The 23,775-nt window shown below is 38.5% G+C and overlaps 1 protein-coding gene and 1 long non-coding RNA gene across 12 annotated transcripts in view; one reads left to right on the top strand and one right to left on the bottom strand.

The window, feature by feature from the left end:
- TPD52L1 (TPD52 like 1) overlaps nucleotides 1–23,775 on the bottom strand; it is a 110,635-nt gene that overhangs the window by 60,100 nt on the left and 26,760 nt on the right. Inside the window, exon 1 of one of the 11 annotated variants that reach the window (NM_001318907.2) lies at nucleotides 531–597. The exons of the other annotated variants lie outside the window; for them this stretch is intronic. The gene's annotated coding sequence lies outside the window, so the exon portion shown is untranslated. Of the gene's footprint in view, nucleotides 1–530; nucleotides 598–23,775 lie in introns of those variants that run through there. 11 annotated transcript variants of the gene reach the window in all.
- On the top strand, nucleotides 6,491–21,365 carry LOC100126584 (uncharacterized). Its single transcript, NR_149043.1, has 4 exons — nucleotides 6,491–6,526; nucleotides 13,644–13,699; nucleotides 19,737–19,834; nucleotides 20,833–21,365. It is a non-coding gene; the product is annotated as an uncharacterized LOC100126584 (long non-coding RNA).

Raw genomic sequence — 23,775 nt, 5'->3', positions numbered from 1 at the left:
TTTTGTTAATGCATCTTGTTCCTTCAAGGACTACATTAAGCCAGGGTCTAGCTTTCATTCTATCAATGTTCTGCTTGAGTTTATACCTTTATATGCTCAGGTAAAACAAATGCTAAAGCCACACTTTCTCAGGAAAACGATAAGTAAGTACAGTGAAAAAGATCAAGATGAATCAGGCTCTTCATTACATTGCAGGTAACACTAGAATGTTAGTTCCACTTGGTAATTAAAGACACCTACAGCAGAATCTTATCCGCCATCCTGACAAGTTGAAAACTGATGTATATCTGGGACTATTTGCAGGAGAAAGGTGTCTCCTCATGTCATTAGGACATAGTTGTGTTATATGTTCTAAGCTCCACCTTAATTTATGTTGTTTAGAATATATCAGTAAAAGACAGCTCTACTTGACTGTGAATATTATTGAAATTGTTTATAAACTGTTTTAGAAGTAGGTCAAGGGAACAAGTATAGAAGACATCAGGTTTTCTACAATGAAAGCCAGAAATACAGAAACTTAGGTTCCTTACAGATGGGGTGGTTCCTCCAGGGTCTGTGTAGAACTTCACTCCAGGGGAGCCAACTGGATTCTCAACCAAAGAGTGAGCTGCTCAGCCCTAAGCTTTTATTCCTGACCTGAGGTCATGTGGCCTTATGCACACACCAAGGGTTTCTGCTGTGTCATTAGCATTTCAGTGACCAAACTCAAAACCATGCAGACAAACAACAGCTCTACTTTCAATGAGAAGATGTAAAATATGTGTCACAAATATCCTCAGCTCCTCCAATTTCCTACATTTCAAATATAAGATTAAAGCATTTGGGATACTCTTCCTATTTCAAACCATTATTTGTACTCTTGAAAGGGACTGTTTAATACACACAAAATAGATGCATTGTGGGTAACACTGCAAGCAAGAAAAAAACACCCCCGACAAAAAGTCACAAGAACACAGCAGCCACAAATTTGGGAAGGAAAAACTAAACAAATAGTTATGCAAAAAAACAAACAAAAATATAGTTAATGTTCCTGATGGATAGGCTCCAGGAACTTCCTTCTGTGAACAAACTCCCATAGTGTATGAGGAAAAATAAAAACTATTGCAGAAATGGGAATAGAAAAACTAAAAATAACCAGACCATCTAAACCTTTAAATCATCCTTCTCTCTGTATCCCACCCTCATTTCCCAACACTCTCCCTGACCACACAAACACATATTCAAATTCACATTTCATGGAACTGGGAAAAGGAAGCCAAACCTGACAAGATAAACCTCCACTGAGAAGCCAAGGTGGGTGGATCACCTGAGGTCAGGAGTTTGAAACCAGCCTGGCCAACATGGTGAAACCCCATCTCTACTAAAAGTACAAAAATTAGCCAGGTGTGGTGGTGGGTGCCTGTAATCCCAGCTACTCAGGAAGCTGAGGCAGGAGAATTGCTTGAACCGGGGAGGCAGAGTTTGCAGTGAGCTGAGATTGGGCCACTGCACTCCAGCCTGGGTGACAAGAGCAAGGCTCCGTCTCAAAAAAAAAAAAAAAAGATAAACCTCCAAATGTAACACTCAGCCTCCTTACATTTTTTGCCCTAAGCAAAAAGGAAAACAGTCTCACTTATTATATTATAAGAAAACTCCAGGGTAATAAATTATTCTGAATTCAAGCTCATTAATAAAAAGTCACTCATTTCAATTAAAATGAGAAGTAATCTCTTCTTCTTCTCCTTCTCCTCCTCATCCTCCTTCTTCTCACACCATCAAAAATAGACCAGAGAACTGATTTTCCACTCATTTCTTTGGTTAGCTGAGTAGCTGCGAGGCACCCAAGCTAGAGTTGAGGGCTGTGGGACCAGTTTCTTATCTCCTTCAACTCCTGAGGGAGTGAGGTGAACACGACCTGTGCATGCCTTGAGCTTCACTGGACAGGATACATTCCATCTTAGGTCATTCCTTAAAGGCTCACTGATCTTATAAAGTGCTGAGTCATCTTTCAGAGCTAGTTCAGGAAAAAATTTTCTTGACAATGAAAGATATTCACTATGAACACAAAGCAGGACAAAATGTAGCTTTTTTTTTCAAGGCATGTTTAAAGAAAGGGATAGATAGTAAGAAAGACTTCCTCAGACAGGCCTGAGATTTTTACAGTTCTCTAATCTTTGCACAACTTCAATGCAAAGGCGAGGGTTAGACAGCGATGCCATGATGCAACCACAAACACATCACGCCTGGACCCATGCCTACTGGGACTGCAGCCAGATTCAGGGGCCTGAACATTCAAAAAGCATTGGTCAGACGTATAGACAGTCTTCCCTTTACTTTAAGCAAATCGGTTCAGTAACATTCACATTTCTTCAATGTCTCTTATCAAATCTTTAGCATTCCAAATAGCTACTACTGACAATGCCCAGGAAAAAAATCCTTTTTCCTTCTGAAATCTGAGTAGCAAAATAAATGCTAAAGGAGATGGAAATATGTGTTTCTGAGTCGTGACATGTTGAGCAAGAATAAAATATGCAAGAATTAGAAAAGTTTCACTCAAGTCACAGACAAGAAAATGCAATGGTGAGATGAAATATGAAAAGACACTTATCCTCACTAGCAATAGGGAAAGCACAAATTAGAATCACAGAGATACTGTTTTTCATCTAAGATATTTGCAAAGAAGCCAAAATGGGATAAGAGCCTGTGTTGGCAAGATTGTGAAAAAATGGATCCTTTAACCACACATTGTTGGCTTTTGCACTGTGACACCTGATTGGGAGAGCCTTTGACACTGCCATCCCACTTTTGAGAATCAATCTTACAGAAAAAAAGGTGCAAACCTAAGGAGAGAGTATAAATCATTGTTGGTAGTGGTAGAAAACTACAAAAACCTAAACGTCCATCAGTAGGGCACCAGTATTCAAGTATAATATACCCACACTGTATACTATTTTTCAGTTATTAAAATTTGTGAAAATAAATATAATGCAAAAGTTGTTGCGACCCCCAAAGCACTTTAAGTCTTGAGAAAGATGTGACTGTGATCTGAGTCACATATGGTTATAATTTCTGTTTCTCAGATTATACATTAACTCACTTTCTTATTTTTCTCGTTCTCTACAATGGCTAGAGATAATTAAATGTCCAGGACAAAAATCTCCTGCCTTCTTAATGACCCTTGCTATAGATTGACTTCCTCTTTGGTACCTTGCTTTGCTAAGACCACATGACAGAAAACCCATGACTACTATGCCCTCTGTAATGAATGTTAAATGTAACTTTTCCAAAAAGAAACGCTGCCTATAAACCAATCAAATTGCTGTAACAATGTGCCAACCCTGTCTGAAAAATGAAATATGCTAAAAACTTCCCTGTCCCTGACTACATAAATGAAACCTTAATTTCCCTACTTTAGAACGCTGACTCCATTCCTTTGGAGTTGGCATGTTTGAGTTGGCCACCCTCACAATATGCACTTAAATAACCTCTCCTTAAATTGGATTCTGACCCTTATGACTACCTTAGGTTGACAAAATAATGAATTGGATTGACATGTATTGACTAGGAGGAATTTTCATTGTATATTGTTGAATGCAAAAATCAAGTTACTGCATCATATTTGCATCTGCACCATTTGGGGGAGGAATAAAACACCATTTTTATGTGAACATGAACATCCATGCATTTGTATGAGCATTGAGAAAGTTGAGAAAGGATATGTACCAAATTGTTAATGTTGGCTGCTGCAAAAGGGTGAGGTTGGACAGGGAGAAGATGATTCACTCTGTTTTATATTCCTCTGTATTACTTGACTGTTTACAATAAGCACGTATATAACTGTTAATTTTTTTAAAATTTGTATTTACTTGCTCTGCAGATAAATGACTACTGAGGGACATTTAAAAATTAGGACATGCTAAATTATTCAAAAAACCATGTATATCTTTTGTCTCTAGTTCCTGAAAACATTTCCAATATTTCAAATAGATTCTTTACAAAGAAAATACCTACGAAAATCTGTTTGTGGCTAGTGCAATTATAGACAATCTTGAACACATTTTTTTAACAACTGACTGAATCTAGAGCTATTTTTTTAAATAGATCAAACGATCTTAAGAATTCATTAATGCAATTCATGGCATGCTGAACATAAAAGCAGGAAGAGGCCTATGTTCTCTTTCAAAATCCTTCCCAGATGGCAAACAAAGCTCAAAAATGAAAGTCTGCAAATAAGATGACTGAAAGAGGGGTTTAATAATCAGTGGCTTTGAAAATGCATGTTCCCTTTTTAAAAGGTGGCTTTTCAGAAGTTTAGCACAGTAAAGCACCTGTGAAAGGTAGCAATGACCCTGTGTCCCTGCTTACCCAGTCTAGGCAATGAGGTGATGAGCCACTAAGGAGGCTTCCCCTAATGTAATGGAACAACATGGAAATACAATGAAAGTCAAGCTTTAACAGGTGCTCTATGGCTCCAAAGCATCTTTATGTATTTTCTGCATTTTTATGACCTAAGTAATTTTTAATTTTTCACTATCTTATTTCCTATAATTTGTGCTATAAGTGCTCAATTCTAGCACATTTAATTTGTATATTGCAGGCAAGCTAAACTTAATATCTCCTTTACTTTTATTTTGATTTTTTTTGAGATGGGGTTTTGCTTTTGTTGCCCAGGCTGGAGTGCAATGGTGCAATCTTGGCTCACTGCAACCTCCGCCTCCCAGGTTCAAGTGATTCTCCAGCCTCAGCCTCCCAAGTAGCTGGGATTACAGGCATGTAGCACCACGCCTGGCTAATTTTGTATTTTTAGTAGAGATGAGGTTTTACCATGTTGGTCAGGCTGGTCTTGAACTCCTGACCTCAGGTGATTCTGCCCGCCGCAGCCTCCCAAAGTGTTGGGATTACAGGCGTGAGCCACTGCGCCTGGCCTCTTTTACTTTCATTTGACTGAAAATAATTATCTCTGTACACAGAATTTAACATGTGACTTTTTCTTGATCCTACATGATATGCAAATATCAATAATTATTTAGTAAATCATACAAGTCTAGCAAAACATTTTTTATACTACATTACTGGTAAAAATTAAAATCAACAAAATCCAGCTTAGCTCCTTCAATCTATTGTCCAATAAACAAATCGAGTCATTAGAATTATTTAAGTCAAAACCACAAAAACCTTTTACTTTCTCTTGAGAATCAAGGAAGACTTTTCTCTCACAAGAATCAGATTTTGTTTCATAGCAAGGTTTAGATTTGATAGGCTTTTTGTCCTTTAAGTGCTGGTAGAGGTCAATAATGTTAATATGTTAACATGTTCTTATTCCTAAGGATGAAGGAAATCAGCTAAACTCATCTCATCTTGCTATGACCATTTCGCCGGATTTCTCAGCCTCAGCACTATGGAATTTCAGGTAGGGGAACTCATTGTTGTGATTGTAGGGAACTGTGTGTTCACTGCAGGATGCTCAGCAGTATATCTGGCCTCTGCCAACTAGATACGAGTAGTACTCATCCCGTAAGTTGTGGCAATCAGCACTGTCTCGAGACATTGCCCGTTTCCAAAATTGAGCCATTGACAACACATTGAGGAAGCTCTGCTCAACAGACACAGAGACAGCTGCATGCTCATAATTTTGGCTGACACTTGTGTTCACAATGTGTTAGGCACTGTGCCAAAGATTTTATGCACATTATTTTATACACATCCCTAATTTATAAAGAGGAAAATTGACGTTCATAGACAGAAAGTGGTTGAGCTGGGTTTCCCTGCTTTTTCTATACTCAGGTGACCAATAACTTCCATGTGTCCTTGGCATTCTCAGCTTTGGAAGCTGGTCATGTGTTTGTGGTCACGTGTTTGTAAATAGATCTCTCTTACCCCATGCATGCAAGTATGTATGCAGGGATAGAACTGGGTATAACTCTACCCAAATGAGTAAAGATGGACAATGAAGGAAAGGACTTTGAAATTCTCCCATCTCTAGTAAGTAGCTGAAAATCACTTATCACTATAGGTTTCCAACACTATACAAGATGCCTGTGAAGACAATAGACACAGAAGACTCAAATTGCCTGAAAGGGTTTAGAGCACTGTAAGAACCTCCCAGTATCTGATGGCCTCTTGGGTTGTTCCTGCTGTAATCAGGAAACTAACTCCAGACCTCTGTCCCTGAAGGTAGACAGAGCTTCGGCTCCTTCTCTCAGAGGGCAAAGCAGAGTTCAAGATCACACTCAGATCAGCCAGAGTGCCCTGGTCTTGGCTTGAAGCCCAGGGTATAATCCTAGTTCCTGGTAGGGCTTTGACTGTGTTGACCTTCCCAGATCTTGGCTGCTTCTTATTTAACTGGAGCCAAGGACTCACTCAGAAGTTCCAGGGCTAACCGATCCCTTGGCCTGCCTCACACTGACCTTGAGCTGCAGCATTTACCCAGCCTTTCCTGAGTGAACTCCAGCAGTGAGCTGCTATTAATCACACCCTGTTGTAACATCCCCTGCCTCCCTCTTCCATTTCCTTTTCTCTGGAGACACTAGCGCCTGTGCTGTTTCAGGTAATGGACACCCAGATGCCTCTTTTAGACTCTGAAAATTGGATGGGGCAACCCCTCACCTCTGACGCTTAGTGGGCTGTTATTTTATAAATAACATGTTTGTATAACTGATTAGTACTTTATATTATATTCCACCTTGGGTGAAAAATAGACTTTGCTTAAAAAAAAATCCTTCTGACTGTTCTTCCTCTTAGAGTTCTAAACTCTGCACTTTTCAAAAGAGTCTGTTCTTTTGGGCCTAGCAAGCAGAAAGAGGAGAGTGTCTCTTGATCTGGGGGCAAACATTTCCCTAAAATTCTCCTGGTAGAAAAAGAACTCAAAATAGAAGTGAAAATGAGTTGCCGAAAAATAAGAAAAGTTATATTTCTTGCCCTTCTGAGTTTGTGAACTCACTGGATACCTGCTTGATATTGAACTAGATATGTGGTGGATATGTGCAGATTAGAACTATTAAATTAGATTATAGAGAGAACAGACCTACCAAGATGAAAACGTAAAATCATTCAAGGGATTGGAAGGTCAACATGATAACACATAAAACAGATTTTCATCTGGAAAAGGGACATCTCTAGAGACTGTTCATACAAGGAGGCTTATTCAAAGAGAAAGGACAGCCAGCTCTTTTCTCAGCAAGCAAGAAGGCTGGGCTAAAATTTCAGCAAGCATGATTATGAGTCTGTTTTAGGGGATACTTTCAGGTTATAAATTAAATGTAGCTCTCCGTGGTATAGAAAAGCTTGGGAAAAATCTTTTCTGACAACCCCAGTGGGAGATTCAGGACATGATTATTCTGATGAAAGGCACAGATCCGGCCAGATGTCTCTGAGTAGTTTTTCTTTTATTTTCTTTTTCTTCCTGCCTAATGATCTAGGAATATGACTACACTTTTGATACTATGGGAGAGGAATTCCAATGCTGGATCTGCAACTAATTGGCTCTGAGCAAGATTCTTATTCACGCTCACCTCCATACCTCATGTATAAATAAGGGTGACAGCATGTCATACTTATAAGTCCGTAGACACCATGGTGATGAGTGAGGTGGAGAGTCTAAGAATAGTCTGATATCAAATACAGGGATGTGAGGAAAAAAGAAAGTTCTATTTTCAAGGAAATTTGCTACACAGTTTGAACAGAATCTGATAAACACCAAAGTATATATTACAGATAAAATAAGCATTTCTTTGCAAGTTATTAAATGTCATGTGCTTTATATAAGCTAACAGAAAACATAATTCAATAACTTTTTAATGTAGTCCATGTCTTAAAAATAATTTGGCGATCATTGGTCTTGCGTTGAGACAGGAGCCACGACAATAATTATTTAGACTTTTTTGCATTTGCAGGGCACATGCCAAAAGTTGTTTATACATTACAACTATAGTTAAGCTTTTACATTAATGAAGCAGTAATTAAAACTTTGGAACTGCCCCAGGTGTTTCTGTGGCTAATGTAAGCTCATGCTTGATCTTATTTTCTCTCTGTGGCAGTCACAAGGCTTAAGGATATGGGATGAGAGTTTAAAAGAAAATATAAACAATTTTAAAAACAGCTACAACTTTGGAAGCTACAGAAAGCTTATCTTTCCTTGTTTTCCTGAGTCTTTGATGATTAATACATTTAGAGCCAAATTTAAGGGCATCACTCAAGTCCTACTGAATTAGAATCTTTGAGGTTAACCTTGCACATCTGTGTTTTGTTAATCCCCACTGGTGACACTGATGGGCAGCCAATGTCAAAACCCACTGATTTTAAATAATATAGTATGATGTAAGGGGCATTACTGTGAGCTCAGCACTATTCTAGGTCCTGGAGATACAATGATTATCAGAGCAGACAGGGCCTCTGCTCTCCTGAAGCTTAAGAGATGCATATGATGAGCAAGTGGGCAACAACTGGCCTGGCTGTGATAGCGCGAACAGGGCACTGTGATGGAGTGACTGGAGACAGGCTTTGTCACCATGCAAAACCAACAATGGTCTGAGAAGTTGCAGAAAGCCTCTCTAAGATGGGTCAGTGCACTTGGCCTTAAGAAGGAGTTGCTATGTGACATTCCAGAATAAAAGAGATTTCCAGGGAGAGGTAACAGCTAGGTCAGATGCCCTAAGGGTAAAACCTGCTTGGTACCTCAAAGGATCAAAAAGATGCCTGTTGACTGGACCAAGACAACAATGCAATTTGTTCAGTATCATCAGAGAATTTCACGTAAGTGCCTTTTCCATAGATCTAAAATTTACTTAATCTTATACCACTCAAAAATTTACTCATTTTATATAAAACCTTTCTCTCATGGATGGGTGACACAAAATGCAGAAGACATGCTTCTTACTCTCAAAGGACTTAGCGGTCCACAATGTACCCAGTGTGAAAATAAATATGATTTAAAACCTGTTGGAACCCTGAAGACACTTTAAGCCTTGAGAGAGATGTGATTGTGATCTGAGCCACACAGGGTTGTGACTTCTGTTTCTCAGATTATAGAACAACTTGTTTCTTATTGTTCTTGTTCTGTACAGTGACTAGAGAGACTCAAACAACAACAGGGACAAAAACCTGCTGCCATCTTAATGACCCTTGTTACAGATTAACTTCCCCTTTCTTGTCCTGCTTTGCTTAGGCCAGTTGACAGAAAACCCATAACCACTATACCCTCTGTAACAAATGTTATATGTATCCTTCCCAAAAAGAAACACAGCCTATACAACCAATCAAATTGCTGCAATTGTGTGCCAACTTTGTCAGAAAAATGTTGTAATCCTGCTAAAAACTCCCTGGTCTCTGACTATATATAAATGAAACTTTAACTTCCCTACTTCAGAACACTGACTCCATTCCTTTGGAGCTGGTGTTTATAGGTGGGCTATCCTCAAACTTTGCCCTTGAATAAACTCTCTCTAAGTCAGATTCTGACCCTTTTGATTATTTTAGGTTGACACCAACTAACTATAAATAAGAAAAGAAAACATTAAATGCTTTAACCAAGGTTTAAACTACGTGCTATTAACACAAATAAGGAATATTTAATTCCAATAGCTGACACCAAAGATCTTCATAGAGGTAATATTGTCTGAGTTTGGTCTTACAAAGTAGGAAGATTTCATTCTCGTTTCGGCAGCACATATATTAAAATAAGATTTAGACAGAGGTAGAGAGGGCATCTTATATGGAAGATCATTGGCAAAGTATCAGGTACATTGAAAGAACCAAGAGCTGCTTGATTGCCTGGGGTCAGGGTTCCAGGGGAACCTAAGGATAGTATGAAATACGCCAAAAAGGACATTTGGTCCAGATCATAGAGGACGTTGAATTCCATGGTAAGGAGTCTGGAAGCAGTAGAGAAGCACAGATTTTTGAGCAGAAGAATGATGGGATAAGAGATGTGTTTAAGGAAGAAAACACTACTTTCTTGGTGCTGCGATGTATTTCATGAATGACCTGAGGGGTTGTTGAGTTATAAACGGCCTTAACCTTTAAACAGAAAGCTCAGTAATGCTGAGACTGTAGAGTTAATGGTGAGTTAATGGTTCTTCTGGATCTTAGCCTGCTGTCAGCTGGCATTTCTAATTTATTGCAAACTAGACGCTTCCAAAGGAAATGGAAAAAGTCACACCTAAAACTAATCCTATAATTAAGTAAAACAAAAACAAAAACTCAAAATCCACAAGTAGTTCCAGTCCACTACTATTAGAAACTAAAAAGCATGGGGCCTTGTCCTTTTATCAGCCTTTTGTTTTTTTAGAAAAAAAAAAAAAAAAAAAACTATTCAGAAGACTTTTCCACAAAATTCTCTATTTATCTGAATCATTATGATTGAAGAGACTTGATCTATAAATTGAACCATCAGTGTTAGCCTCAAGAAAAGCAAAAACCCACTGGGTTGTGAGCTCCTTGAAGCCCCGGGCCAGGGCTTCATGACCACCAAAGCCCCAGCTCACTCTGCAAGGCTCCTAGCAGTTGCTCAGTGAAAACCAGTTGCATAATGAATGTATAACAGCTTGCACTCTTACCAACACTGATGCTGGAATTGGGAGAGGAGGACATATATACACACATGAATTAATATATTTGTTTTTCATATATTTTTAAAATATATGCATATATTTTTCATCTGTATGTGTGTTGCATAGGTATCTTTTCATGTATATATTTTCATATTTGTAACAGGCATATGTTTTCCATATATATGGCTATTTTCTGCCCTTCCTCAGCACCCACAGCAGTGTGGTGGCCTGTGAAGTTCTGCCATCACAGAGAGAGCACCAAAGGCAATAATTCACAGAAAAGCTGCTTGGGACTTTTGCAACCATTCTTGAGTCTACTGGTTCTCAGCTATTTTCCCATCCCAATACTCCTGAAGGCTATGGCACACCCATGAGGAACAGTGACTCAGTGTGACAGCAACGGACACACCTCACCCCACCCTACCCAGAAAGCATATCAGAAGAGGGAGAAGGAAAGGATGAGGGAAAGGAAAGGAGAACATAAACATAAGCAGTTTGAACAAAAAAGCCCCGAAGTCCTTCTGCTATACCCCACCAGGGACAGGTCTTAGCCACAGCCTCCATCCCCCCAACTTGAAAATCAAGTATCATTTAAGTGGTTGGCTTTCAGAGTTAGAGGGGCCTGAATCTAGTCCTAGCAACACAATTATCAGCAGAGTGATCCCAGTCATCACAGTTAGCTTCTCTATGCTTCACTTTCCTCATCTGCAAAAGAAAGATAATAGTAACTATCTCAAATAGCTACTTGGAGGATTAAATGAGACTAAATTGTATAAGCTGTTGGGCACAATGCTTAACACATAAGGATAATAAATAGATGTTAGCAATGATTATTATCAACAACCAGCCCTTATAATTAAATGTTTGCCATGGAGGACATGGATGCTAATCAAAGCTTCCAAGAAATCAGGTGGGACATTTGTGATAGATCCAGCTGTCACTGGGCTTTATCAACAAGGTATATGTGCAAGTCAGGTGCAGATGTGAGACAGGTGAGTCCATATGGGTCCATCTGGGTGCAGACTCAGGCCCGCCACCAAAGCCGACCGTATGCAGCAAAGTGCTTGGTTGGTATTTGGAACCACGACTAATGTTCCCTTTTCTTTCTTGGTTCTTATTAATTCAGAAAAGCGGGCTCAGCCCTAGTTGGAAAGTCAACAAAGGGAACAAAAAACTGATGCTGGTTTTCTTAGGAATGAAGATGGGGCTCTCTGTTAAGGTGCTACTTCCTGCCTCAGGACTTGCGGGCAGATAAAATCAAGGGCTCTCTGGCAACAGCACAACCCCTGGTGGCCAGATGATGTCACTGCAGGTTTTTCTCCATTAAAAGAACATAGTATGAATGAGTCACATCACAGCTGCAACTCTGTTTCTCCTCCCCTGCATAGACTATGCTCTAAGCTACCAGCAAGTACATTCGGGGATCCTGCTGAGGCAACACCAGATAAAAAAAAAAAAAAGATTTTTTTTGTTGTTGTTCTCAAAATTCTGATTGCTGCAGATTGAACCCAAAGAACTTTATTCTGCTCAGGTCAGCCGGGTTCTGAAACTCTTGGCATTAAAAGCAGAGTGGGTGACAATCATAAACCTACAGTTAAATGTCTAGTGTCCTGAGTGCCAGGCTCATCAGGAAAACAAAAATTTCCACTTGTAGTCAAAGCCAACCTCAGCCCCTCCCACTATTCTCCTACAACAAAGGCCCTAAGGGAACAGTGAGGAAAGAACGTGGCTTTCTTCCCCCCTGGCATGCTACAGAAGCTATCGTGAAAGCTGGTGACTATTTAGTAGATATGTCAGGGTCCTTCATTCATAATTTTGTTCAAATCTTTTGATTCTACTTAGATTCTGCTTTAGAATAGCAAAGTCCATATGCTATTACACAGTATGAATACTGGCTCTTTTTCATTTCTTCTTGAACTTACCTTGTTAAAAAATAATAATAGCTTGTAATGACAAGGTATGTCAGTGCCCAATGAACAGAAGGGAGGGGGAGAAAAAACAGAGGTATCTGAAGGCCACTGAGGATAGGGAGACATTCCACAGTTGTTCACTTCTTCCTTCACTCCCAGCTCTCTCTCTCCTCAGATGATAGGGAGGTAAACATGCTTAGAGTTCATTTGGTCTTACACTCAGAATGTCTGCACCCTGTTTCTCTATTTTGATGAACTATATGCCAGGATAGCCAGCCAAGTAGAAAACACTGCCGTTCTTGCACATCTACAATGCTGCACAAGTAACATTTCACAATGGGTAGGTTCCTCTGCACTGTTTCAGTTAGAAGAAAGAACACAATTCACCCAATTTTAAACACATCATTATCCCTTCACCATTTCCTTTCAAAATCAAAGAAAAGGAATTAAGTCCATATTTTGATGGGAGCTGGAAAAAAACGTTTGGACTCTCCCTTCTTCATTTAGAAAAGGAAAAGCTGCCCCCTTTCACAGAAACACATCAAGCAAGTGGACAATGAGCGACATACAGGTGCAAATGCCAAAGGACAATTTGTTCTTCTGCAAAATCATTCAGCAGGAAATTGGGCTAAGAGTATTACTGAGAATAAAGAAAGCGTGGCTGGAACAAAATAAACAACAACGCAACTCCACAGCAAGAAAAGAAAACCCAAGATCAGCAAGGAATGATTCCATGTAAGAGAGAAATGTTAACTGTAGTTGTGAGGACAAGTGAATTTAAAATCATATTAAGATTCCACATAATGTTACACGATATACAAATCACTATAGTTAATATGTAGAGTCAAGACAACAAGAGTAGATGGTGCCATTGTTACCTTGATGTAGCAACAGAGAATGATATATTCAGTACAACATACTCTAAAGCAGGGGTCCCCAACCCCTGGGCTACATACAGGCGGTTAGGAACAAGGCCGCACAGCAGGAGGTGAGTGGCAGGCAAGCCAGCAAGGCTTCATCTGTATTTACAGTGGCTCCCCATTGCTTGCATTACAGCCTGAGCTCTGCCACCTGTGGGATCAGTGGCAGCATTTGATTCTCAAAGGAGTGCGAACCCTATTGTAAACTGCACATTGAGGGATCTAGGTTGTTCACTCCCTATGAAAATCTAATGCCTGATGGTGTCACTGTCTTCCATCACCCTCAGATGAGACCATCTAGATGCAGAAAAACAAGCTCAGGACTCCCACTGACTACATTAGGGTAAGTGGCATAATTATTTCATTATATATTACAATATAATAATAATAGAAATAAAGTGCTCAGTAAATGTAATGTTTTTGAGTCATCCCAAAACCATCCCCCAACCTTCGTCTGTGGAAAAACTGTCTTCCAGGAAACCAGTCCCTGGTACCCAAAAGGTTAGGGACTGCTGCTGTAAAGCGTGCTGGGACAGTCTTCATGGCTCTGAGTCTCATGGGTTCCCGTTATCAGTTTGGTTGTTGCAGTGACTCCCACAAGCTACCAACTTCAGTACTGTTTTCAGAAAAAAATGACCTAGAACCTAACAGAAAATGGACCACCAGGGACAACGGTCGGCTTCATTTGGGTCTGGTCACAAAATTGGGGTCATATTTTGACAGTCCTACAAACTAAGAATTCCTGCCATTCACAAAGTCACAGCTGGTAGAAATTCTTCAAATTATGATCAATATAGTTCACAGAAACTATTTCCAGTGGCACTTTTAGTTACTTTGAAGTTGTCTTCAGCCATAGAAAGACATGGCAAATGTCTTAGAAGCAGATAGCTATATCTATACTTCCTTCTGTCCTAACCACCACCGACACCCCAATGTTGGTAGAGAATTCTAGTAAAGAAAGGAAAGTGGAAAGGTGAGTTTTAGGGTTACCTATAATTTGACTTTCTGTGTCTCAAAGTACCCTTTTTTGTTATGTGTTTTGTCAAACCTAAGTTATTATTGCTATTGCTTTTACTTTATATTCTTCTCTGTGTAGTGCATACTAAACAAACCTTAAAACACAAGTGGCTCAATTTACTTCAAATATTCATGTAAAATAAAATCGAGTTCCTTCAGTATCAGATTTGGAACTACTTCAGAGTGAAAAGGAAATAACAATGAGAATAGTGAAAGGAGGCTCATGGAAAAGTACCAAGCAGAGAGAGGTTGCCAACCTTTCCCCATGTGATGAACTCTCTTTTGACAACACCCACACAATCAAAGGCATCAATGTTAATCATTCAGAAAAATAAGTTAGGTTAAAAAAATTAAGTAAATGACAGGATAGAAAAGCCTTTGTTTTCCTAGTGAATATCTAAAAATGTGTCTTATACACATCTTAAATTAGGTATATTGTAAAAGAGGCCACAGGCAGAGTCCAGTTTCCACTGGCTTTTTGAAATTCTTTGCTCCCAAATCCAGTTAGATATAACACACATCATTTTACTTTGTAGTCAAAGTATGAGCCAGATTTTCAAACACTTCCACTTTAAATGCCTGTACATAAGTCACCTCTGTTCTTATGACCCACACAAATCCTGTATTTAGAATAGTGTACAACTGATCTCTACTGATTATGAAGAATTAAGTAGTCAATATGCCCAACTGGGGTTATTATTATAAAAGAATATACTTAAGTGTTGCTTAGTTTCATATGGAAATTCTTTTTCCAACTTTAGCTTATTCTTTTAAAGCCTAAATGGGAGAGGAATCCAAGAAAGCTTAGGGCAGAGTTGAAATCAACTGAGATGCCTTCTATTTATACCAAGATGACCAGTCTTCTCATGACAGTCCCAACTGTAGGAGAAAAATCGTTAGCTAAGGCATCTACCACAGCAGTTAAAATTTATTTGCCTCTAGCTTAAGCTAATTCTCTAAAAGTATTGCAAGGCTTTGGCCCAAGGTAAACTTAAAACTACCTTAAGGAACCTGCTGTCAGAAGGTCTTTCACATAAGCTGACCTTATTGGCATATGTGAAATAAAGTAAAACATGCCTAGGTCTGTATTTGACCTCACTGAGCAACTGTCTCTCCAGTCCAGTGAAAATCTTCTGACCATGGAATGCCATGCATGCCACTTTGATAGGAGTCCTTTGATGCAGTATGTTTTCAAACTGCAGGTCACTACCCCATTTAGTGGGTTACTAAGCCAACTCAGTGTGCTGTGATCAGTATTTTTTAAATGAGATAAAATAAAGTAGACTAGAAGAGAGTAGGAATTGTTTGGAATGCATATAATAAGAACAAGTAACATTTCATAAAATTTTGTTCATTATTTTATATGCACACACACACAGGCATGCACACACCAACACAACTCAATGTGATATAAAATGTATTTGTTACCCTGTGTCAGTTTTTGAGAAGTCTGAAAACCACTTCTAAGAAGGATATTTAATTTTATTGTTTCACATTGTATCTAAATGTTCACATACTACCAATCTATTCCCTCTTTTCAAGAAGGTAAGGGTAGGAGTAAACAGGATGGGTGCACCCACTTTTAGCTACACTAAGAACACAGCTGTGGGAGGAAGAATCAGCTCTTACTAGGTGAAGAAGACAGATCCACTGAAGGATAAAAATGTGCCTTTCCACTTGGATAACAAGCTGATGACGTGGATATCTTAACAGAGGAGAGAAGCACTGTAAAGTTTCCATTTGAGTCACTGGTTTTTTCCAAATATGGTAACTGGTTCCAAAACCTAAGAAGCTGAAGGCTTTGGCGGAATGTACTAATTAATATATGCTTGGCTAACTATGGGATACTCCCATTCAATAGGTGATGCCATAAAACCAGGACCTCTTCTCAATAGAAACGTCTAAAACAAGATCTCTATTAATTATTCTTAAATGTAAATGCTCTCCCACTCTCCACCATACCCCAGCTAATGCTGTGTTCCTCGACATCATTAAAAAAAAAAAAATCTCAGTTTAGTTTCCCAGTGTTTGAGAGGGTAGTTTAACTAATATCTTCTCTTTAAGGGGGGATTACAAATAAAAGTGCATCTGACACTTTCTGGATTTAAAATAAAACAAGATTTCATTTATTCTTTGGCAATGTGTGTGTGTATGTGTGTACATACACATTTACAACATAATTATACATACACACTACAGTATATATAATTATACATACACATACCAGAGTCTTTGCCACTGTTTGACAAAAATGATTTCATATTCTATAAACTCCTCTCCATCTTGTTAATCTTCACCATTCATACTAAATGTATGTGCCAAATGTTGGAGTTAAAATTCATTCTTTTAAAAGACTGCTGAATATTTCATGGTAAGCAAATACCGCATGTATTCAAACATTGCTCTTTTGATGGATATTTATTTTATTTTATTTTTTTCTGAAGAGAGGGTCTGCCTACCCTACTATAACCAGTGCTGCAATGCATAATTTTTGTACACGTATCATTACTTAAGCTAATTTTAGTTCCAGGAGAAGAATTTAAATTTTATTAGCTGTTGCCTGATTATTTTCCAAAAAGAGTGTAGTAATTCACATTTCTACCAGCAAGACATGAAACTACTCTTTCTCTATCCTTGTCAGCAATTGGAATTATCATACTTTTAATATTTTGCCTGTCCAAGGGATATAGCATAATGCCATATTGTTACTTAAATCTGCATTTCCTTATATAGTTAAGACTTTTCATACACGGCTGGCCAGTTATTTTTGCTCTCTGTAAATTACTCATTCAAATTATCTGCCTATTTTTCTATTGCTCTATCAAATTATTAGATTTTTTTCATATTGTATTGATATTAATCTATTAACTGGTATATGCAATGCAATCCTTTCTCCCACCTATTGTTTGTCTATTAAATTTGATGATATATTTTTTCTTGCAAATATTTAACATTTTCATAAAGGATAAAATGCCTATTTTTTTCTTTTGTACCTTTGCATTTCCAATCCCTTGGCTGAAACAGTCACCCCAATTACTACGTTGTACTTGATCATCTCATTTTTCTGTGAATATTTACATTGTGTTATAGTTTTTGGTTAAGATTTTAATCTATATAAAATTAACTTTATAAGGCATACAATAAAAGTCACATTTTGACTTTTCTGTGGCTGAGGTCCCAGTTTTCTGCCCCTAACTATGTGGTGTCACATAGTGCTTAGCTATGGTGTCAACGTCACACCGTTTTGATAAAGATGGCTTTATGGTACATATTAACAGCACATAAGGCAATTTCTTCCGCTTATAGTTATCATAACACTTTGTCATGTGTCACAGTTTATTCTTCAATAGATGCTCTAAGAGCACAATCTAATTTCAAAATATCTTTGTTGGGACTTTAACTGAAATTACACTAAATATAATATTAATTCATCTATTCAAGTTTTAAATTTTCCCTAGCTCAATTTTGGTAGTTTATATTTTGCTATACTGGGTTCCTCTGGTCCAGGGTTTGACAAACTATGACCTGCAGGCCAAATCCACCCATGGCCTATTTTCATAAATAAAGTTTGTTGGATCACAGTCATACCCATTTGATATTACAATGTCTAAGTCTCCTTTTGTGCTACAATGACAGAGTTGAGTGGTTGTGACAGAGGCGGTATGATCCAAAAAGCCTAAATCGTTTACTCTCTGGTCTTTACGGAGAAAGTTTGCAGATCCCTGCTCTAGGTTTAAAAATCTAGTTTCCAGGCCAGCCACGGTGGCTCATGCTTGTAAGCCCAGCACTTTGGGAGGCTGGGGCAGGTGGATCAGGAGTTCGAGACCAGCCTGATCGACATGGTGAAACACCGTCTCTACTAAAAATACAAAAATTAGCCGGGCGTGGTGGCACGCATCTATAATCTCAGCTACTCAGGAGGCTGAGGCAGAAGAATTGCTTGAACCTGGGAGGCAGAGGTTGCAGTGAGCCGAGATCATGCCACTGCACTCTAGCTGGGGCGACAGAGTGAGACTCTGTCTCAAAAAAAAAAAAAAAAATCAAATTTCCAAAAAGTTATACATGGTATTCTCTATCTTCTAGAATTTCTTCAATATTTTGGTTATGTTTGTTTTCTCATTTCTAACTTTTCTCTAGAGAAAGGTTTCAGAGGGGGTTTGTATATTACCCCAAATTAACTTTTGAATTTATTTATCCATTCTACTATTTTAGTTGTTGCTATTTTCCATTTCATTAATCTCTGCTTCCATCTTTTTAAATTATCTTTTCTTTTGGTGTATTTTTTTTCTAGTTTCTTATGTATCAACTTTTATTATTGGCAGTCTCTCTTCGTCTCATAGATTTTGAAGTGTTCTCCTTTTCATTGTTTTCTAGATAGTTCAGAATTTCATTCTGATTTTATCTTTGTCCCAAGTGTGTTTCTTAATTTCCAAGTTGTTAAAATTTTTGGTTATATTTTAATACTTATTTCTAGTTTTATTGGGCAATACTTAAAGAATGTGGTCTGTAAACGCTCTTTTGAATTTTTCAAGCTATTCTCCAGGCCAAGTACTTGACTAATTTTTCTAAATGTTTCATGGCACTAGAAAGCTAGAGAAAGGACATGAAATTCTATATAAAATTCTGTGATATATACCTACTAAGTCAGTTTCTAAATTGGATCATCAAAGCCTCTCTGTCCTAACCTGTTATCTACTATCTACTCATTAAAATATACCACTATAAAACCAAATTATTAATCAATTCTTCCTGCATTGTGACAGTTTTTAAAAATGCATTTATAGTTGCTGTGTTATTTGGACATGGAAGTTTATGACTTTACAAATTGCTCCTCTTTCTACTATTTTATGCTTTCATTCCAATACAAATTGCTCTTAGTGTTTTTATTTTGTTTGCTCTTTGTCTTGTATATTTCTGTTCATCTTTTCACTTCCCTAACCTTTAAGAAATATTGCTTATAGTTTTTGTAAGCAACTCATGTGTGCTTTTATTTTGATCCAACACATTCCTAATCTTTCTTTACATGGGGTATTTAGTCCTTTTACATTTTAATGTAGCAATGGTGCACTTGATTTTTTTTCATTTTTTTTTCTTATTTTATATTTACAATTTAGTTTACTTTGTTGGTTTCTCCTCTTTTCCTCTACTATTTGCTGGCTAGGTAGAGTTTCAGCTTATTACCTTTTTTTCTCTTGTTAATGTAAACGTTCCATCATTGTTTTCAATTCTATAAGTTGTTACCTTCCCTTCACAAATAATTGTATTAAAATGTTCTGAAAACAAAATGCCTAATACTAGGAATCAAATGAAACCAGTGTTTGTTATCATATGCAAACAAAATACCAACTATTTCTTCCTTCCAGATACTTGCTGCTACATTGCTTCTCCCTCTCTGTGTGGACATACCTGCCTTTGCTGCAAAGTGCTGGAAGCTGGCCTCTTTGGAGCCACAGACCAAAAGGTAACTTTGGCTTGGTCAGTGAAATGCCTTCCTAAGAGATTTGTGAGAGAGCAGCCACTTCTGCTGTTCCTACAGTCAAGCACAGTCTTGGAGGCATCAGTTTTCTGTGGCTGAGGTCCCAGTTTTCTGCCCCTAACTATGTGGTGTCAAAAAAATCCCATCCATTTTGCTAGTGCAGACAGGAGCAGTTATGGAGCCGATGAAAGGATCCACTGCTTGGTGCCGAGGCAGGTCCTGATGGCAGTGCCTTCCTGATCCTAATAGCTTCTTAATAAGTTGCTATGGTAGCATCAATGTGGGGCCCCAGTTCTGGGAGCAGCTTTGAGTTTGAGAGTTGTTCATGAAAGCTCAGTTTAGAGTCTACTACTTCAGCTGTGCAATGGTTCTGAGGCCCACTTACCATGGCTCTGTAACAAATTCCTTCTTGTTTAAAATAGACGGGTGGATTCCATCCTCTGCAACTGGACCCTGATTGATAGATGCTCTCCCTATCTCCCCATAGAATCTCCAGATTTTACTGAGACAATAATAATTTAATATTTTTAATTTTAGACAAAGTTTTTCTTTCAATATGTCTCTTCTGTATCAAGAATCTATATTTTAGCTCATATCGTATACATTCCCAATCACTATCATAATCCATTTATTCCATTTATGTTTATCCAACATTTCAGTGTCAACCATGTTGCCAGGAATTGGACTTTGCGGAAAAAAGGTTGCTAAAAGTTGATCTCTTTCTTATTGTTTTATATTAGTCACCTTCACAGATTTTATGTTTTCCAGTTCTAATCTCATGTAATCGTGATGCTTTTTGTTCATCGTTTTCATTAAAAATACTTCCCTTAAGAACCTGGTGAGTCATGAAGAGAATATGAACTACATCATGTGCTTCTACTCAAGGCCCTTCACGGACTGGGCACTCTTCATCTATCTGTGCTTCTTCTGAATACATATAGCCTATCATTTCATTTCATTTCTTTTCTTTTTTCTTTTTTGAGATGGAGTCCCGCTCTGTCACCCAGGCTGGAGTGAAGTGGCACAATCTCAGCTCACTGCAACCTCCGCCTCCTGGGTTCAGGCCATTCTTCTGCCTCAGCCTCCCATGTAGCTGGGTTTACAGGCACACACCACTATGTCCAGCTGATCTTTTGTATTTTTAATAGAGACAGGGTTTTGCCATGTTGGCTAGGCTGGTCTTGAACTCCTGACCTCAAGTGATCCACCCACCTCGGCTTCCCAAAATGCTGGGATTATAGGTGTGAGCCACCACACCTGGTCTCCATTTCTAACTACAAAAACTGGCTCCAATCTCACCGCTCAAAAGTTCTCCTGCATAGCCCTGTCCCAGGCTGGCCACACTGAAATCTTCTGGGTGCTTCAGTGTTCTTCATGCATTTTTAATGTTGCTTTTATTCTTTTCATTCCTACTTATTGTATAAAGACTGGTCATATTGGAAATTCCTCAAAAAAGGGGAATTTGTCTTTTGGCTGTCCTCACAGTTTATAATACTGTGACTGGAATAAAGGACTCAAAAAATAACATTCCTTGCATTCGTAATCCCCACCATCTATGTGTGTGTGAATTCATATGTGATATGTAAACACACAGTAATTTTTAAATACTTGGCACACAAGCTGCTTAAGTTCCCTGGGCCTCTGTTTACTCGTCTGTGAAATGATGATGCCATCACCTACTGCACAGTTGTGGTTTGGAAAAGATTAAATGGAATCGATCCTGTATGGCAATATTTACTGACAGTTCTTCAGGGCTGGGAGGCCAAGAAACTGTAGGGAGAATGGTATCTGACAGCTAATCAAGTGCTCTCAACAGCCTGGCTCTCTCAGCTTCTCTCAGTCAAGTTAACTAAATGTCCCCTTTTTTCATTTACTCCAGAAGCAAAGGCCACTTTAAGAAGCTGTACCCAATGCCTGGAACATCATCACACTTCCAGATGGCAGGTTCCCTCCCTTTCTACCTTAAACCAACTCTCAAAAACCACCCCCTCAATGATCCTCTCCTGACTACCAGAGAGGGTAACACTCATCAGCACCTCACTCTCCTGAAAAATGCTACTCCTGCAACACTTTGCTCACGACTCCAGCTCACGATTCCTAAAAAAGGCAGCTGTGCTTATACATCATGAAAAGTGACAAAAGTCACACAGCGCTGTGCACTTGATCAGTGTTTGCATGCTTTCCCTGGGCTCTACATGCTTCTGATGTTTGCACATCTGCCCTAGAGAAAGCACAGAATTGGTTTAAATTGGTTTGTATGATGCCCAGCCAAGTAATATATGTTTATAAATATTAGCTTTTAAAAGGCCCCAGGCAGTTACTCATCATCTATACCTACCTGCCTTTCAAGTGGCTCTTGGTCATTATCCTTACCTGGTTTCTAGAAAGTACAGCTGCAGAGAAGTACATCTGTGCCTCCCTAATGCCAGAGGTATCCGAGGGGAAGCCTTGTCCATAAAAACTGACATGAAGGGGTGATCTAGACCAGGGCCATCTGGGGAGTGGCTGTGCAAAGCCAACTTTCCAAATCAAACTCCATTGCCCTAAAATTATCCTAATATCCCTGAAACACCTTGGTTCGTGGAGTCAGTGCAGAATCTAATACTGACTTGCTCCCAGTTATCCTGGAAAATCTTGGCCTTTGATGATCTGGGAGAAGACAATATGTCCAAAGATCTATGGCTTGCACCACGCCAATGTAAACTGGCAAGTCCTAGATATTCAGAGTTATCTGTGCTGATACAATTTAGCATCCATTCTAGTTCATCAGAAAAACACTATGTATCCCCAGAATCTATGCATGGCCTAGCACAAGGAAGATGTTTACCAAATGTTTGTGAGTAAATAAATATTATCGTAAAATAACACATGCTTCAATTTAGGTCTTTCCTCAGTACTCGTGTAAAACACATGCATTCTTTATCTGTTCATAGTTTGATATTTAAATCCCATGATGTTGATTAAGTCTCAGTTTTGTTTCCTCTATCTCTATGCTCTCTAGAAAATGGACAGCATATACATAATAATGTAAAACAGCGAGCACCTCTTGACACCATCGCCAAACCCCTCAAATGTCTTAGTTCTTTGTGTATCCTGGCGTAAATGTTTCTTGGTGCTCTTAGAGAGGTCATTCAGTTCTCTTGGTTATTCCTACATCCTTCTGCGTGAGTATCTTATGTTCTGACCTCTTAGTCATCCTGAATTTTGATCTTGACATAGTTCTTTATGCTAATCATTTAGATCAGATATTATCAGGTTTACTACTTAATTACTACAAATTAATTACTATAGTATATAAGTAAATAAAATAAATAACATTATAATATTAACATCGTATTCATTACTGGGTTCACTGCCATCAGATTCTTCACCTTTCCAGATCTTAAAGAGAAAAACAAACTGTAGGCTCGAACCCAACTTCTAAGAATGCCTTAAGCCATCATTTCTTCCCCTTCCTCTGGTTCTAGCTTTGTAATCTGCACAAGAGCAACACCAGCCTCCTTCATGCCACCAGAAAGGGCTGTGAATACAATCAGATATACTGAAAAGCATTCAGCAAACATAAAGACCTATGATAATAGCAAGTCATTTGGCTGCAACTCTGTGGGCCTCCGAAGCAGGAAGCTGCTGTGATTTTCTTCCTTTATTTAAAATAATTCTGAACAAGTAAATAGAAAACATTTTTCATACCTGAATGCATCATTAGAAGGACCAGGAAACAAGTGTTTTATGCAGATGTTAAACAGCTCTCCTTCATGTTTTCCATTGTAAGTTGAATTCTCCAGAATGGGGTAATTAACACTCTCCTTTACGTCCTCTATCAAGAAAAGGCTAAATAGCTCTCCCTCTCTGTGTGTGTGTGAGTGTGTGTGTGTGTGTGTGTGTGTGTATATATAATATATGTGTGTGTGTGTATGGTAAATGTA

This window comes from Homo sapiens, chromosome 6 (genome assembly GCF_000001405.40).
Source record: "Homo sapiens chromosome 6, GRCh38.p14 Primary Assembly".
Classification (NCBI taxonomy): Eukaryota; Metazoa; Chordata; class Mammalia; order Primates; family Hominidae; genus Homo; species Homo sapiens.
Note: the sequence above shows the minus strand (reverse complement) of the source record. Positions and strands in the feature narration are given on the sequence as shown.